General features: G+C 42.7%; 1 protein-coding gene across 3 annotated transcripts in view; it reads left to right on the top strand.

Moving 5' to 3' along the window:
* Positions 1 to 14,073, top strand: part of CSMD1 (CUB and Sushi multiple domains 1) — a 2,059,554-nt gene that overhangs the window by 1,229,155 nt on the left and 816,326 nt on the right. For all 3 annotated transcript variants that reach the window (XM_011534752.3, NM_033225.6, XM_017013731.2), the window contains exon 6: positions 11,718 to 11,830. In XM_011534752.3, the coding sequence (XP_011533054.1) occupies positions 11,718 to 11,830 (113 nt within the window). The remainder of the gene's footprint in view (positions 1 to 11,717; positions 11,831 to 14,073) is intronic.

Genomic DNA, 14,073 nt, shown 5'->3' with positions numbered 1-14,073 from the left:
AGGATGCCAGATCTCACCCCCTGGGCGCCCCCACCTGCAAGGCTGCAGTGCTGATGGGAAGCCACTGGGCATGAGAGGACAAGAGCAGCATTCTCTTACTGTTCTTAATGCTTTATCATCTTAGGGTTCACTTCTCTTAATAACTTACATTAGGAGCAAAAATAAAAGTAAAGAAACCATTTAGAATTGACTTGTTAAGGCTTTAGTGCATACAGAATACTACAAAGAAGAGGAAGATGTCTGAGTTAGCACCAATGCCCTCAGTGGGCTCAGAGTGCAGAGGTGAGGTAGACCTCTACACAACCATTAATAATGTAAGACACACAGTAACTTCCAGGGAAGCCTATGAAACAAATGCTGTAAAGGTAGGAGTGGTTAAGTCTATTAAAGACAAGGAGAGAAAGGTCTCTGGAAGGGATGTCTTCTGAAAAACCTTGGAAATTTGGGAAGGATTTACACAGGCAAAAGTGAGTCCGTGGGGCTAGCATAGATTGACTGCACAGGATCAAGGGCGAAAGCAGGAGCACAGCAGACAGTCGAGGGAGTGATCGCCACCACATGGGCAGAACACAAGGTTCACGAAAGGGCGTGATAAGAAATGAGGCTAGAAACAAATCGATTCATATTATAAAGGGTCTTCAGTACTAAGACAGTTGACCTCTTTTTAAGGGTGTTTGAAAGCTATGAAAAATATTTTTAGAAAAAAGGGCAGTGCAGCCAGGAATGGTGGGTCATGCCTGTAATCCCAGAACTTTGGGAGGCCGAAGTGGGCAGATCACCTGAGGTCAGGAGTTCGAGACCAGCCTGGTCAACATGTGAAACCCTGTCTCTACTAAAAATACGAAAATGAGCTGGGTGTGGTGGCAGTCACCTTAATCCCAACTACTTGGGAGGCTGAGGCATGAGAATCCCTTGAACCCAGGCAGCAGAGGTTTCACTGAGCCAAGATGGTGCCCCTGCACTCCAGCCTAGGCAACAGAGTGAGAATGTCTCTCAAAATAAAAAAAAAAAAAAAAAAAAGAAAGAGAAAAGGGCAGTGCTGTGATTTAGCTTCCCCATGAATTTTCAGGTGATTACTGCTCTAGATAATGAACTCCCCAGCCCCTGTCTAGCCAGACACATGGTAAGTCACAATGTGGATATCACATCTCCAAGGAAACTGCCATCCAAGAGAAGTTTAAATCCTCTCTTGCAGACACTCACAGCAACCTGTACTCCCCACCTGGTGATGTCTCAGGTGTGACATCCGTCACCCAGGGCTACTCTGCTCTCAAAGATTGTGGGTGCCTCTACTCACTCACACGCATGTCTTCAGGGCCCAGTAAGGTGTCTCACACTCATACGTTGTTTATATATGTTTGATTATGTTTGTGGTATTTCATATCAGAGTTATGTAATGTGGTTTAGAGCAGAGAGGGGCAGGGAGCACAAGTACACTCAGGAGAGTTTCCCTACAGCACAAGGAGAGACACCAGGGTTTGGACGGGAACACAGGCAGTGTGTAGCTGGAAGAGAAGCGAGAAGCGTACTTTGCAGGTGGAACACATGTGACTTAGTGACCTAATGCGTACGGTGCAAATCTAAATGGAGGAGGGGTCCCTGGAGTGAGAGAGTGCTGTGCACTCCCTGAGCCCTGCTTTGGTCGCCTCTAGTCATGTCTTTTTGAGTGCAACCAGAAATATACATCTGAGAGCCTGTGGCCTCCAGAAATCCTGAAACAAGGGGTGGCTGTGTGCCAAACACCTGCTGAGGAGCTTCATGACAAACAGACAGATGTGGGGAGTGGGAATTGAGGACGTTTCTAGGGCAAGTGAGTTATGGGATCTTTTGATTCCCATAGAGGTTATTAAGATAAGGAGATAAGGCATCTCCAGTCAGGGGTGCTGAGGTCTAAGGCTTTGGAGGAAATCATTCCATGTGAATAGTGTCCTCAGGATTATGTGTGCATGCAGGGACCTGGGTCCTCTGAGAATATGGAGCCCTGGTCATTGTCCTACCACCATTTATCTCCTCACTTATCTAGTTTCTGTACAAAGGTACAGGGTTTATCCAACTATGACACTGTTTAGCCACAAAGGCACTTGTGTCAGTGTGTTTTGCAGTGCTATATAGGAATACTTGAGACTGGGTAATTTATTTTTAAAACAGAGGTTTATTTGGCTCAGAATTCCACAGGCTGTACCAAACGGGGCTAGCACCTGCTTGGCTTCTGGTAAGGGCCTGAAGAAATTTTTATTCACAGTAGAAGGTAGAGTGGGCACAGGTATATCACAGGGTGAGAAGGGGAGCAAAGGAGAGGAGAGGGGGGAGTGCTAGGCTCTTTTAAACAACCAGCTCTGGAGTAAACTAAGAGTGAGAACTTACTCATTACCATGGGGAAGGCACCAGCCATTCATTCATGAGGGTTCTGCCCCCATGACACCAACACCTCCCACAGGGCCCCACCTCCAATACCGGCAATCATATGTCAACATGAGATTTGGAGGAGACAAAATATCCGAAGTATAAGCACCCTAGCTGGCATCATAACATCGAGGGTTTCATATAGTCATTTCTACTTTATGATGTGGGACTGGCCTAGGGCTCTGGGAGTGTGGGTGAAGAGACCTCTTTGGCTTATTCAGCCAATGTGCATTGAGTGCCTACCACATGCCCAGCACTCTGTTACGTGCCAGAGAGACCGTGAGAATAGGACAGGCTTCAATCTCGCAAAAATGACTAACATTAAGCAAATAACTATACAAATCACCAAGTGTCCGGTTCAAGACTACACCAAATGTCATGGTGAGATCTGAAGAGAGTTGGGGGATGAGCAGAAAGAACACTCTGTGGGGCGTAGGCAGGTGAAAGTTGATTTTATTCAGTAGCAGCTCTCATCAGCAGCTTCCTCACACTGTCCACCGTGTCTCGGCTGCTTACTCTGGCAGCTGCCTTACACACGGCTGCGTGGGTGGCTCTCCCTTGCCTTCAGGGTCAGCAGCTTAACTCTTTCTCTCTCTGGGAATAAACCAAGCCGAGCTGTGGCCTGGCTCCCCCCGACCATCTTTGCAGACGGACAGCTTTGGCTCTCTCTCTTTCTCTGGGCACCAGTGTGCCTGTACGGCGTCAGCAGGGCGATTATACCTTCCACAGACAAGAGCGGCTTAGGGCCAAGTCATGGGCTTCCCATGTTATGGCTACATGGCTGTGATACCAAATGGAGTTACACGCCTGTGCTACAGACTCGCTGAGTCACAGAGGATATAAACATCCTACCTCAGCCTATCTGACCAAAGCACAGCCATGTGCCTTATACCAAGTCATTACTATTTTGAAAATGTCTGCAAAGGGTAAGTCTGGCGTGTCAGGAGAGGGCATAGCCAAGGAGGAGCTGCCTGATCTTAGAGATCAGGGCAGGCTTCCCTGAGACTGCAACACATGATCTGAAATTTAAAGGAGAGCCAGAAACGACCAGGCAGGTGCAGAGTAGGTGGGATGCAGGGCAGATATTTCTGCTGATCTCCAGGTAAGGGACAGCGCATGGGATGATCTGAGTCAGGAGGGCACATGGGGCTTTGCATGGCGCCCTGCATGAAGTCAGCTGTTTCTGGGTGTAGAAAGCAGGGGATGGGGGCGATGTGCACCTGAAGAGGCTGGAAAGCAGAATGAGCCAAGCTGGAGTGAGTGGGAGGGCTCAGGAGACTAGAAATTATTTTTTCATTTAAAAAATTGACTATAGGAGGGCACAAGGAAAAAGCTAAAGGCCGTGGCTAGAGTCGCAGGAGTGGATGATGTCACCAAGAGGGATGCTTATGGCCACTGGTGTGGAGCATGATGGTGCCTCAGAGAGTGCTCCCAGAAAAAAGAGAGCCAGAGGGAGAAAAATCATTGTCAGGGAGAGAGAAGGCCTTTGCCAGAGACAATCATGAGTGCCGCTCCGGGTGGAAGAAATGACTTGTAGAAAGTGGTAATTTTGGCTGGGCATTGTTGCTCAAGCCTGTAATCCTAGCACTTTAGGAGGCCTAAGCAGATGGATCACCTGAGATCAGAAGTTCGAGACCAGCCTGGCCAACATGGTGAAACCTCATCTCTACTAAAAATACAAAAATTAGCCAGGTGTGGTGGTTTGTGCCTATAATCCCAGATACTCAGCAGTCTGAGGCAGGAGAATGGCTTGAACCTGGTGGGGAGAGGATGCAGTGAGCTGAGATCATCTCATTTCACTCCAGCCTGGGTGAAAGGGTGAAACTCCATCTCAAAAAAAAAAAAAAAAAAAAAAATGGTCGTTTTGATTAAAGAACTGTTGAATGAAAACTCTTCTGTGGTACAGTTTTAAATATACCATATGGGTTTTTTTATTTTATTTTGTTTCATAGTTGGTTGTTTTTCCCCAGATAGTATATACGTGTGCACAAAACTTTTGAATTAAATTTCTAGAAATATTGGTAACTATGTAAATATGTGTATGTGCGTGTGTACATATATATTTGTGTCTGGGTATTATTGTGTTTATTTTATGTGTGTATACACACACACATAGACCTTCTTTTAACTGTTTTTCATGTTCTTGCAATATGAGAGTTCATTGTCGCTTTTCCTAATGTCCAAAATAAGACTTGGAACAGTTGTATAAACTCAAAACATGTTCATGAGAGAAATGATTTCACTTACAATGTGAGTAACAGCCAATTCAAAACATAACATGTCAGGAACTCTCTGTTTGATCAGGTTGTTCTATTTAATTTTGACAAAACAGAGATAATGAAACACCACAGTACAAATCATTTGGATTGCATGTCCAGAAAATGCAAAAAAAAAAGAAAAAGCACATCTTTTATATGGCTTTCTGCCCAAATTGACACAAAACTGGTCTCCTCCAAGTAATAGGTTTATTAAATTTCTTAGTCCCCCTGTGGGCAGAGATCATTTAAAGCCTCTCCCAATAGCAGTAATGCTTTCTGGCTTCTGAGTCATCATAGTTAAAGAGACTTAACTGCAGAGGGACCCCCAGACATTTCTCTGATGATTTTCTAAAGACATAAGAAATCTGGCTTAATGTAAGAGAAGTACTCAAACAAAGCGATATCCAAAACCATTAGCATTTCCAAATGCATTTTAGAAAATTATCCCCATAAATTGACTCTTCATTTTTCAAGTCACATACGCGAAATGCATGAGTCATACATACAGAGTGCTGTAAAATGTTAGAACAATGTGTTCAGCCCTTATATCCCATCGGAGAAAAGTGAGGCTGAGGGAGGTTACATGAAAGAATGAGTAGGAGTATGTTATAAATAGAATCCTAAAATGTATGGTACAATTATTTGGAGAAAATGAAACAGACTGGCCTGTTCTATTTAAGCTCAAAGGAGGTCGTCGTAACTGTAAGGATCCCATGAGTCCTCCATTTATTTTAACTCTTAGCAGAAGCAAAACCCAGTTGAATCCTCTGAAGGAAATGAATTTGGCATTGCTTTAAATTGCTTAATTTGGTATTCTTAGGGGAAAAAAGTGGGAACAACCAGTTCCTTTTGCCATCTCTAAAGGAGCTGTCCAACATTCCCACTGAATGGCTTTGTGGGTTTCCTGACCTAGATTGAGATGCTCCAGAAATAGGGCATGTCAAAATTCCCTTAAGAAGACCCTTTCTCAGCCTGTTACTCTTTTACTCTTTTTCTCACTTCTCAACCCCCTTGTTTTTTAAGCACCAATATCCCTGACCTGGCAAGCTCCGTTTGATTTCACCAGGCGTGTGTCCTGTGTTTCTGGACATCAGGAGAGAAAATGGTCAGTGCGCTCTGAATTAATGCGGGAAGACATTGGTTGATCACTACCATTATTTCCCCGTTCCTCATTTTTTTTTTTTTTTTTTTTTTGAGACAGTCTCTCAGTCACCCAGGCTAGAGTGCAACAGTGCAATCTCCGGGTCACTGCAACCTCTGCCTCTCAGGTTCAAACAATTCTCCTCCCTCATCTTCCCGAGTAGCTGCGATTACAGGAGTCTGCCACCATGTCTGGCTAATTTTTTTTTTTTTTTTTTGGTATTTTTAGTAGAGGTGGTGTTTCACCATATTGCTCAGGCTGGTCTCGAACTCCTGACCTCAGGTGGTCCGCTGACCTTGGCCTCCCAAATTGCTGAAATTACAGGTGTGAGCCACTGTGCCTGGCACCCTATTCTCTTTTAGAGGTTTCTACTTTGAATCTTGTCTCTGTTCATGCCCATTTTCCACCATTTGCCCCATAATCTCTTTCATTTTCCAAACTATTTGTTTATTAGAAAACCAAATCCAGCAGGCCTAAAAGAAGTGTGGCTAACAGCTGTAGAAGACTTCCAGGAAACCTCACTCCAACAGCGGTAGATCTTCAGTCACTGGTTGTTTTATAAAGGGTTTAAACTGCCTGGATTCAGTAAGGTTATGAATAGATAAGAATTGTGTCACATTGTACCATATTTTGTTTTCTGTCCTTTTCCTCAGGATCATTCTAGATCATTCTGATTAACAGGCCGTATTTCTGTTTTGGTCTTTTTAAGCCACTTTATGGAGATATGGTTGACATATAAAAGCTATACATATTTAATGTATACATCTCAACAAGAGATTTGCTTTCTCTTGCCACCATAACAAATTAACACAAATACAATGACTTAAACCAACACGTGTTTATTATGTTCAGTAAATAGATTAGAAATCTCACATCTACAATCAAGGTGTCAGCTGGGCTGTGTTGCTCTCTGGAGACTCTATGGGAAAAGGCGTTTGTTTGCGTTTCCAGTTATAAAGGTATCAGCAGCTTTCTTGTCAGCCAAGAGGGTGAAGCCCTCAATGCGTCACTCTGACCTTTGTCCACAGGCTCTTCTACCTGGAACCTTGTCCTCCTGCCTCTGTCTTCCACTTTAAGGATCTTTTTCATTACATTGGGCCCACTCAATAATCTAGTATAATCTCCCCATCCCAAGCTCAGTAAGCGCATTGTTCTGCAAAGTCCTCATGAGCCATGTCAGGTGACACATTGACAGTCTCCAGAGAGCAGGACCTCGGGGCTTGGGGATCTGTCTGTAGCAGGTATGATTCTGCCTCCCACAAAGCCATTCAGTTGAATTCTTTTCTTCTAAATCTCAACTGAAACACCAAGTTGTTAGAGAGTTCACAATTTCACCTAATTTGTACAGTAATCATCTTCCTTTAAATTACGTAGTTTGTAATGAAGAAACAACTGAGTTTATAGCATCAACTTTGTGTCAGATGAGAGCTATAAGATTAGCTCCTGGCCCTGTAGACAGCGATAGAATAACAACACAGTTCTAAGGCCAGGTCTCATTTGGAACAACCCCCTTTCCCAAACAAACAACAAAAGTCTATGAACATTTGTTTAACGCAAAAGGTCAAATCAGGAAATTCATGTACAAAAATCGACTTCGGGGTACAATTCATTTGAATGGCTTCTTCATGGAAAATGGATTGTATAATTGGTCTAAAGCCCTCACCCTTGCTTCTCTATAAAAGGAATCTGTGCAAGGCTGAGTGTGATGGCTCACGCCTGTAACCCTAGCACTCTGGGAAGATGATGGGGTTGGATCACCTGAGGTCAGGAGTTTGAGACCAGCCTGGCCAAAATGGTGAAATCCCATCTCTACTAAATATACAAAAATTAGCCAGGTGTGGTGGCCGGTGCCTGTAATCCCAGCTACTCAGGAGGCTGAGGCAGGAGAATCACTTGAACCTGGGAGGCAGAGGTTGCAGCGAGCTGAGATTGTGCCAGTGCAGTCCAGCCTGGGTGACAGAGCAAGACTGTCAAAAATAAAAGGAATTTGTGCAGGACTTACGCATTTTTTTTAAACCTGAATTACACTAGGCTGCTATGCATCATCTGTTTATCTTCCAGCTCGGTGTTTTTGTTGTTGGTTTTTTTTGTTTGTTTGTTTGTTTTTTGAGATGAAGTCTCGCTCTTTTCACCCAGGCTGGAGTGTGATGGTGTGATCTCAACTCACTGCAACCTCTGCCTCCCAGGTTCAAGCAATTCTCTTGCCTCAGCCTCCCGATTATCTAGGATTACCTGTGCCTGCCACCATGCCCAGCTAAGTAGAGACAGGGTTTCACCATGTTGGCCATGCTTGTCTTGAACTCTTGACCTCAGGTGATCCACCCACCTTGGCATCCCAAAGTGCTGGGATTACAGGGGTGAGCCACTGCACCGGGTCTGTTTTTACAAATCGCTTCATATATGCTAGAGCAGGGGTCAGCAAACTAGTACCTGCAGGCCAAATCTGGCCCATCAGCTAAGAGTGGCTTTCACATTGTTAAGTGACTGAAAAAATACAATCAAAAAGTAACTATTTTGTGACACAAAAAAATTGTATAAAAATTAAAATCTCAGTGTCCGTAAATAAAGTGTTATTGGAACACACCCACTGCCATTTTATGGCTACTTGCCAACTACACCTGCAAAGTTGAACAATTTCCAACAAAGACCATGTGACCCATAAAGCCTGAAATACGTACGTACTCCCTGGCCCTTTACAGAAATATCCTGTTGACTGACACAAAACTATCATTGTTCTGAGTAGGTATTTGGAAATACAGATGAGGGTAAAGAGTGGATGTGGGTGTAGGTGGTGGTAGAGAGGGGATTTATTTGTGATCATTATTAATGTAGGCATGCAAATAAAGTGCAATTCCAGGCTGGCACAGTGGTTCACGCCTGTAATCCCAGCACTCTGAGAGGCAAAGGTGAGAGGATTTCTTGAGGCTGTGAGTTCAAGACCAGTCTGGACAACATAGTGAGACCCCCAGTCTCTACAAAAAATTAAAAGATTACAAAACTATCCAGATATGGTGTGCACATATAGCTCTAGCTACTCCAGAGGTTGAGGCAAGCGGATGGCTTGAGCCCAGGAGTCGGAGACTGCTGTGAGCTGTGATTGCACCACTGCACTCCAGCCTGCGTGAAAGAGCAAGACACTGTCTCAAGAAAAAAAAAAAATTCCACCTGGTTTTTTCAGTCAGAACCGTTCATAAGTAATGCGAGTGAGAAAATATATATGTTCAAAGCAGCAACAAAACAAGCATTGATTGCGGTTGTGAAAAGTTTAGCAAGTACATGCAGCTTCCTACATTCGCTGATCTTTTGTATTCATAGTCTTCTATCACCATATGAAATGGAAACTTACAGGGGATTGAATAAATATCAGTGCAGTATTTTGAGGGCTTTGGATACTATTAGCTATGTATATATTTTACATTAGGATCGTATCTGATGTGGAAAAGGTAGGCTTGCTTCTGTGCTTAATTTCAGTGTATATCTATGTGTTTGTAGTTTTTAAATTTTCTATGTTTGAATTTAACGTTTTTTGTATGTGATATTTGTGTGTATAAAAATAATTATTGATTTTTAATATACAAAGAAACTAATGATTTTTTTTTTTTTTTGAGATGGAGTCTCAGTGTGTTGCCCAGGGTGGAGTGCAGTGGCGCGATCTCAGCTCACTGCAAGCTCTGCCTCCCAGGTTCACGCCATTCTCCTGCCTCAGCCTCCCGAGTAGCTGGGACTACAGGCGCCCGCCACCATGCCCGGCTAATTTTTTGTATTTTTAGTAGAGGCAGGGTTTTACCGTTGCCATGATGGTCTCGATCTCCTGACCTCTTGATCCACCTGCCTCGGCCTCCCAAAATGCTGGGATTAGAGGTGTGAGCCACTGCGCCCGGCCACAATGATTTTTTAAAGTACCTGTAAGTTCAGTAAGTACAGGTGAGTGGCACAGACTGGGGGTTTTTGAATCTAGTTTTTTAGACATTCTCCGTATTAGGCAAATAAGTATGTGGCCTATAGAATTTGTAACATAATCTCACCAGAAAAATAAAAAAAGGTGATTAAATATGCCTTGGAGTCAGCTGTGTCCAGCTGTCACCAGCCAGTACTACATAAATCCAAGCAAAGAGGCAAATCTGAGCAGTGTACTTCTCTTACAGAAGATTATTTCAAACAGTGGCATAAACACTGTTGTAATTGGTTACAGTCAAGGTTTGGCTTTTAACTTAAAGTGGATCCTGTACATTTTTAAACCTGAGAGTTGGAATAGAGCCCCCTGACATCAGAAAGCTTGACTATGTATTTCATCTGGTGTTGCTTCTTCCAGGTAATAGAATAAGTAGGGAAATGCTCTCTACACAGGTGACCCATTTCGTAGGAAATCGTCTGTGTAGAAATCAGGTCCTCAGCTTTACCAAGCAGCTGCGGCGCTCACAGGCAGGCCCACACGCAGCACCACAGTTCAAGTTCCTGCTAAAAGCAATTTGCTTAAACCCTTACAGATTATCTACACTAATAAGCATCATTTTGAAAATAGATTTTGTTACCAAGATGCAAAATAATTATTCAGTGCACAACCACTTGTAGAGCACATGGAGAATGTGCTTCAGGTACATTTACATGTGCATCTCTATCATCTTTCGACCCTTGATACAGGTATTTTCGTGTCCAGTTTATACAATGGGTAACAGAGGTTCATAAACATGATCCACCTATGTTGCTTCACCTAGCACAAAGTCGAGCCAGCACGCAATCCTGTATCAGAAGCATCCTAATCCAGTGATGCTTATGCCACTGAAAAACTAAATGTGTCCCTTGCGCCTCTAACGGGCAGGAGCTTTAATATCTTGGAATGCTTTTATTCCTTAGTAAGCACATAAGGTTTTCAATAGTGAGAAATAAAACACATGATTGTTTCTGACAACTAAACTGCACGTTGTAAAGTGAAATGGATATTTTAAACAGCTTAACCAGAAATTGATTGCATCTTATTTTTAAAATGAATGCACTGCTTTCTTAAAACATAATTTTATTCCATTTCAAATCTCTTTTGCAGTTCTTGTCATCAATCTCATAAATGGTCCTCTTCTTTACTTTGGTAGGAAAGGCCCAGGTTCTTAGTCCTGCAAATGGGATGCTGGGAATATAGCTTGTTACCAAGCATGAGAAACAGTTTGTTGGCGTCTACTTCAGGTTACATAGAATTCGTAAGTCTTGTGGCCGGGCGCCGTGGCTCACGCTTGTAATCCAAGCACTTTGGAAGGCCAAGGCAGGCAGATCACCTGAGGTCACAAGTTCGAGACCAGCCTGGCCAACACGGCAAAACCTTGTCTCTAGTAAAAATATAAAAAGTAGCCAGGCATGATGGCGCATGCCTGTAATCCCAGCTACTCAGGAGGCTGTGGGAGGAGAATCGCTTGAACCCAGGAGGCGGAGCTTGCAGTGAGCCGAGATCGCACCACTGCCCTCCAGCCTGGATGACACAGTGAGACTCCGTCTCAAAATAAATAAATAAATAAATAAATAAATAAATAAATAAGGAATTACTAAGTCTTCAAATTGTGAAACACAGAATTTTATCATTTTCCTATTTCTTTTCCTTTTTTCTGATTCATTGTGATTAAGATCTTGATGAAAAGAACTAAGAGATCAAAAGAATACCTCCTCCTGCATTCACCATTAATAAAGGAGAATGAAAGTATCAAATATTTTTGAAAACATTCATTCCATCTAGGGATTTAGCATTTATGTTTGGGCAAAGATAAAATCATCTTGATCGTTTTAAGGTTCAAAGTCAATTAATACATGGCCTCTGTTTTAAGCATCTCAAGATGAAGGATTTAAGTAATCGGATTTCAAAGCGGGTTTGATATAGGACATTTGCTCTGTTGGTTTACAAGGGAGATTTTTTTCCTCTTTCTCTTCTCTAGGCTAACTGGCATGAACCTCCCCTCTCCAGTTATCAGTAGCAAGAATTGGCTACGACTCCATTTCACCTCTGACAGCAACCACCGACGCAAAGGATTTAACGCTCAGTTCCAAGGTAAGGATGCTCCATCTTATAAGAAAAAAAAAAAACAGAGCGTAATATATTTTGATCCTTTCTAGCCATGAAATTTTAGGAGTTGGATAAATAGCTTGAAAATGGTTTCTAATTCTTTTATTCACAGTTATCTTTGGAAATCATATAGTCGACAGCTGGGAACTTATTAGTAAAGCTATATCACTATCACAGTATACAGGATATGTATAGTTTCTTGATACACTGGAACAATTGCTAAGTTTTAATCAATAGCTATTTATTATCATTGATTTTAATTATTATGCATCTAATCTGTAAATATCCACAGCAGTTTGGCTATTGTATTTACATTCATGTTAAGCATGCTATAGCATATAGGTTGCATGAAAATGCACAAAAAGTATTGTAATATCACTTTTAATCCTAAAAGGTCTTCACACCACATAAATGCATGATTCAGTAATTTACACACAATGAATCTTAAAAGAAAGATTCTGGATTTCCTGCAGCTGAGCAAAATGGGGAGTCTGTAGTCATTAGGACAGAGCTTGGTAATGAAATGTTCTTTTTCTCTCTGGTTTCTAAGGTTTATACCTAGATCATATTGTATCATTTCCTGTATGTTTCTAATAATGAGTAATCCTTATTAACACAGCAAAAAACTATTCAGTTTATTAAGCAGTCTCCTAAAAACCATTCCACTTCGATTTCCAAATTAAAATAACATGACTTTGAAAATAATGGACCTTCCCAATCAAAGTGCCTAAGCTTTCCCCACATTGTGACGATGAGAACGTTGACCCCATTAAGGTAGCATTCGCTGAACACCTGCCATGTGCCAGAGAGGACACCAAGCCCTGCAGTGCCAGAGAAATTACAGCATCCTCCATGCTGCAGGAACTAGCAGGTCACGGAGACAGTTTGCAGTTTGTAAATACCTCCCATGAAAGTCAGAATGCAAAGGGATCTAATTATAGCTCCTGCTGGAGATTTTAGTAATTTTTCAACAAACTGGTCTAAATATCTGTTATCTTACACATTTTAAAATCCATAATGCTTTCATCGTTTCCTTCAGGATGACCAGTAGAGAAACAAGGGTCAGTTGCGGGGAATGAAATGCAGAGGGTGCTGAGAAGTACACATCGGAACCAGCAGTCTTTATTTGCCACCCAGTCCCTGGGGCACATGATGTACGCAGAACTTCCTGCCTCAGAATCCAGGGGCAAATTCGTTTCAACAAAATATGTTTTTTTTTTTTTTTTTTTTTTTTTTTTGCCAGGCGGGGAGTGGGTGGCAGTGGACAGAGTCTTGCTCTGTTGTCTGGGCTGGAGTGCAGTGGTGCAGTCTTGCCTCACTGCAACCTCCACCTCCTGGGCTCAAGTGATTCTCCTGTCTCAGGCTCCCGAGTAGCTGGGAATACAGGTGCAGACCACCACACCCGGCTAATTTTGTATTTTTAGTAGAGATGGGGTTTCGCCATGTTGGCCAGGCTGGTCTTGAACTCCTGACCTCAGATGATCTGCCTGCCTCGGCCTCCCAAAGTGCTGGGATTACAGGTGTGAGCCACCGTACCCAGCGCCAAAATATATTTTAGACTTCATCAGGAACATTGTCCATCTTAGATTGCCTTCTGATGTTGCCGGAAGGTTCTTAGCTTGATCTTCTTTGGTTGCAAAGAAGCTGCCCTGAAATTTTATTAGAGTGAAATTAATGTGCTTTCCCTTCACCTGGAGCCAGGCCAGGCCGATCCTCCTTTTCCATACCTCCCCATATCTGCCGTTATCTTGTGACTGCCATATACTGTGGCTGTAGTTAGAATGGAGTAAAGGTGGGATGGACGTGTTGGCGGTGGGAGGTGGGTGCACACCCAGGCTGGGTGGGTTTGAATGAGGAAGACTCCATGTGGTCTGGTAGAGAAATTCTGTCTGCACTTTCTCTTCAGTGATCCTTATCTATGGATATGTCCATCCCGTACCAGATTTAACATAACCATAAGTCAATATTTACAAGGCCAATGGACTGATCCTATAGTCAGTTAGGTTGATTAACAGATTTGTCTCTAAAATGTAAATTGATCTTTTCCTAGAGCTCTCAGTAACTGAACAACAGTGAATTAAAGAAAAATTTCTAAGCGTTTGTTTCTCAAACCTGATCAGTGAACTTGGCATTTGTATCTGTAATTGAAAGAAAGGTTAAAAATGGAATATCAACTTTGAAGCTGCTCCAAGATGGTAGATATAAGAAACTCATTGGTTGGCAGAAAA

Source organism: Homo sapiens, chromosome 8 (genome assembly GCF_000001405.40).
Source record: "Homo sapiens chromosome 8, GRCh38.p14 Primary Assembly".
Classification (NCBI taxonomy): Eukaryota; Metazoa; Chordata; class Mammalia; order Primates; family Hominidae; genus Homo; species Homo sapiens.
The sequence above is the reverse complement of the archived record's forward strand: the minus strand, read 5'-3'. Positions and strand labels throughout refer to the sequence as shown.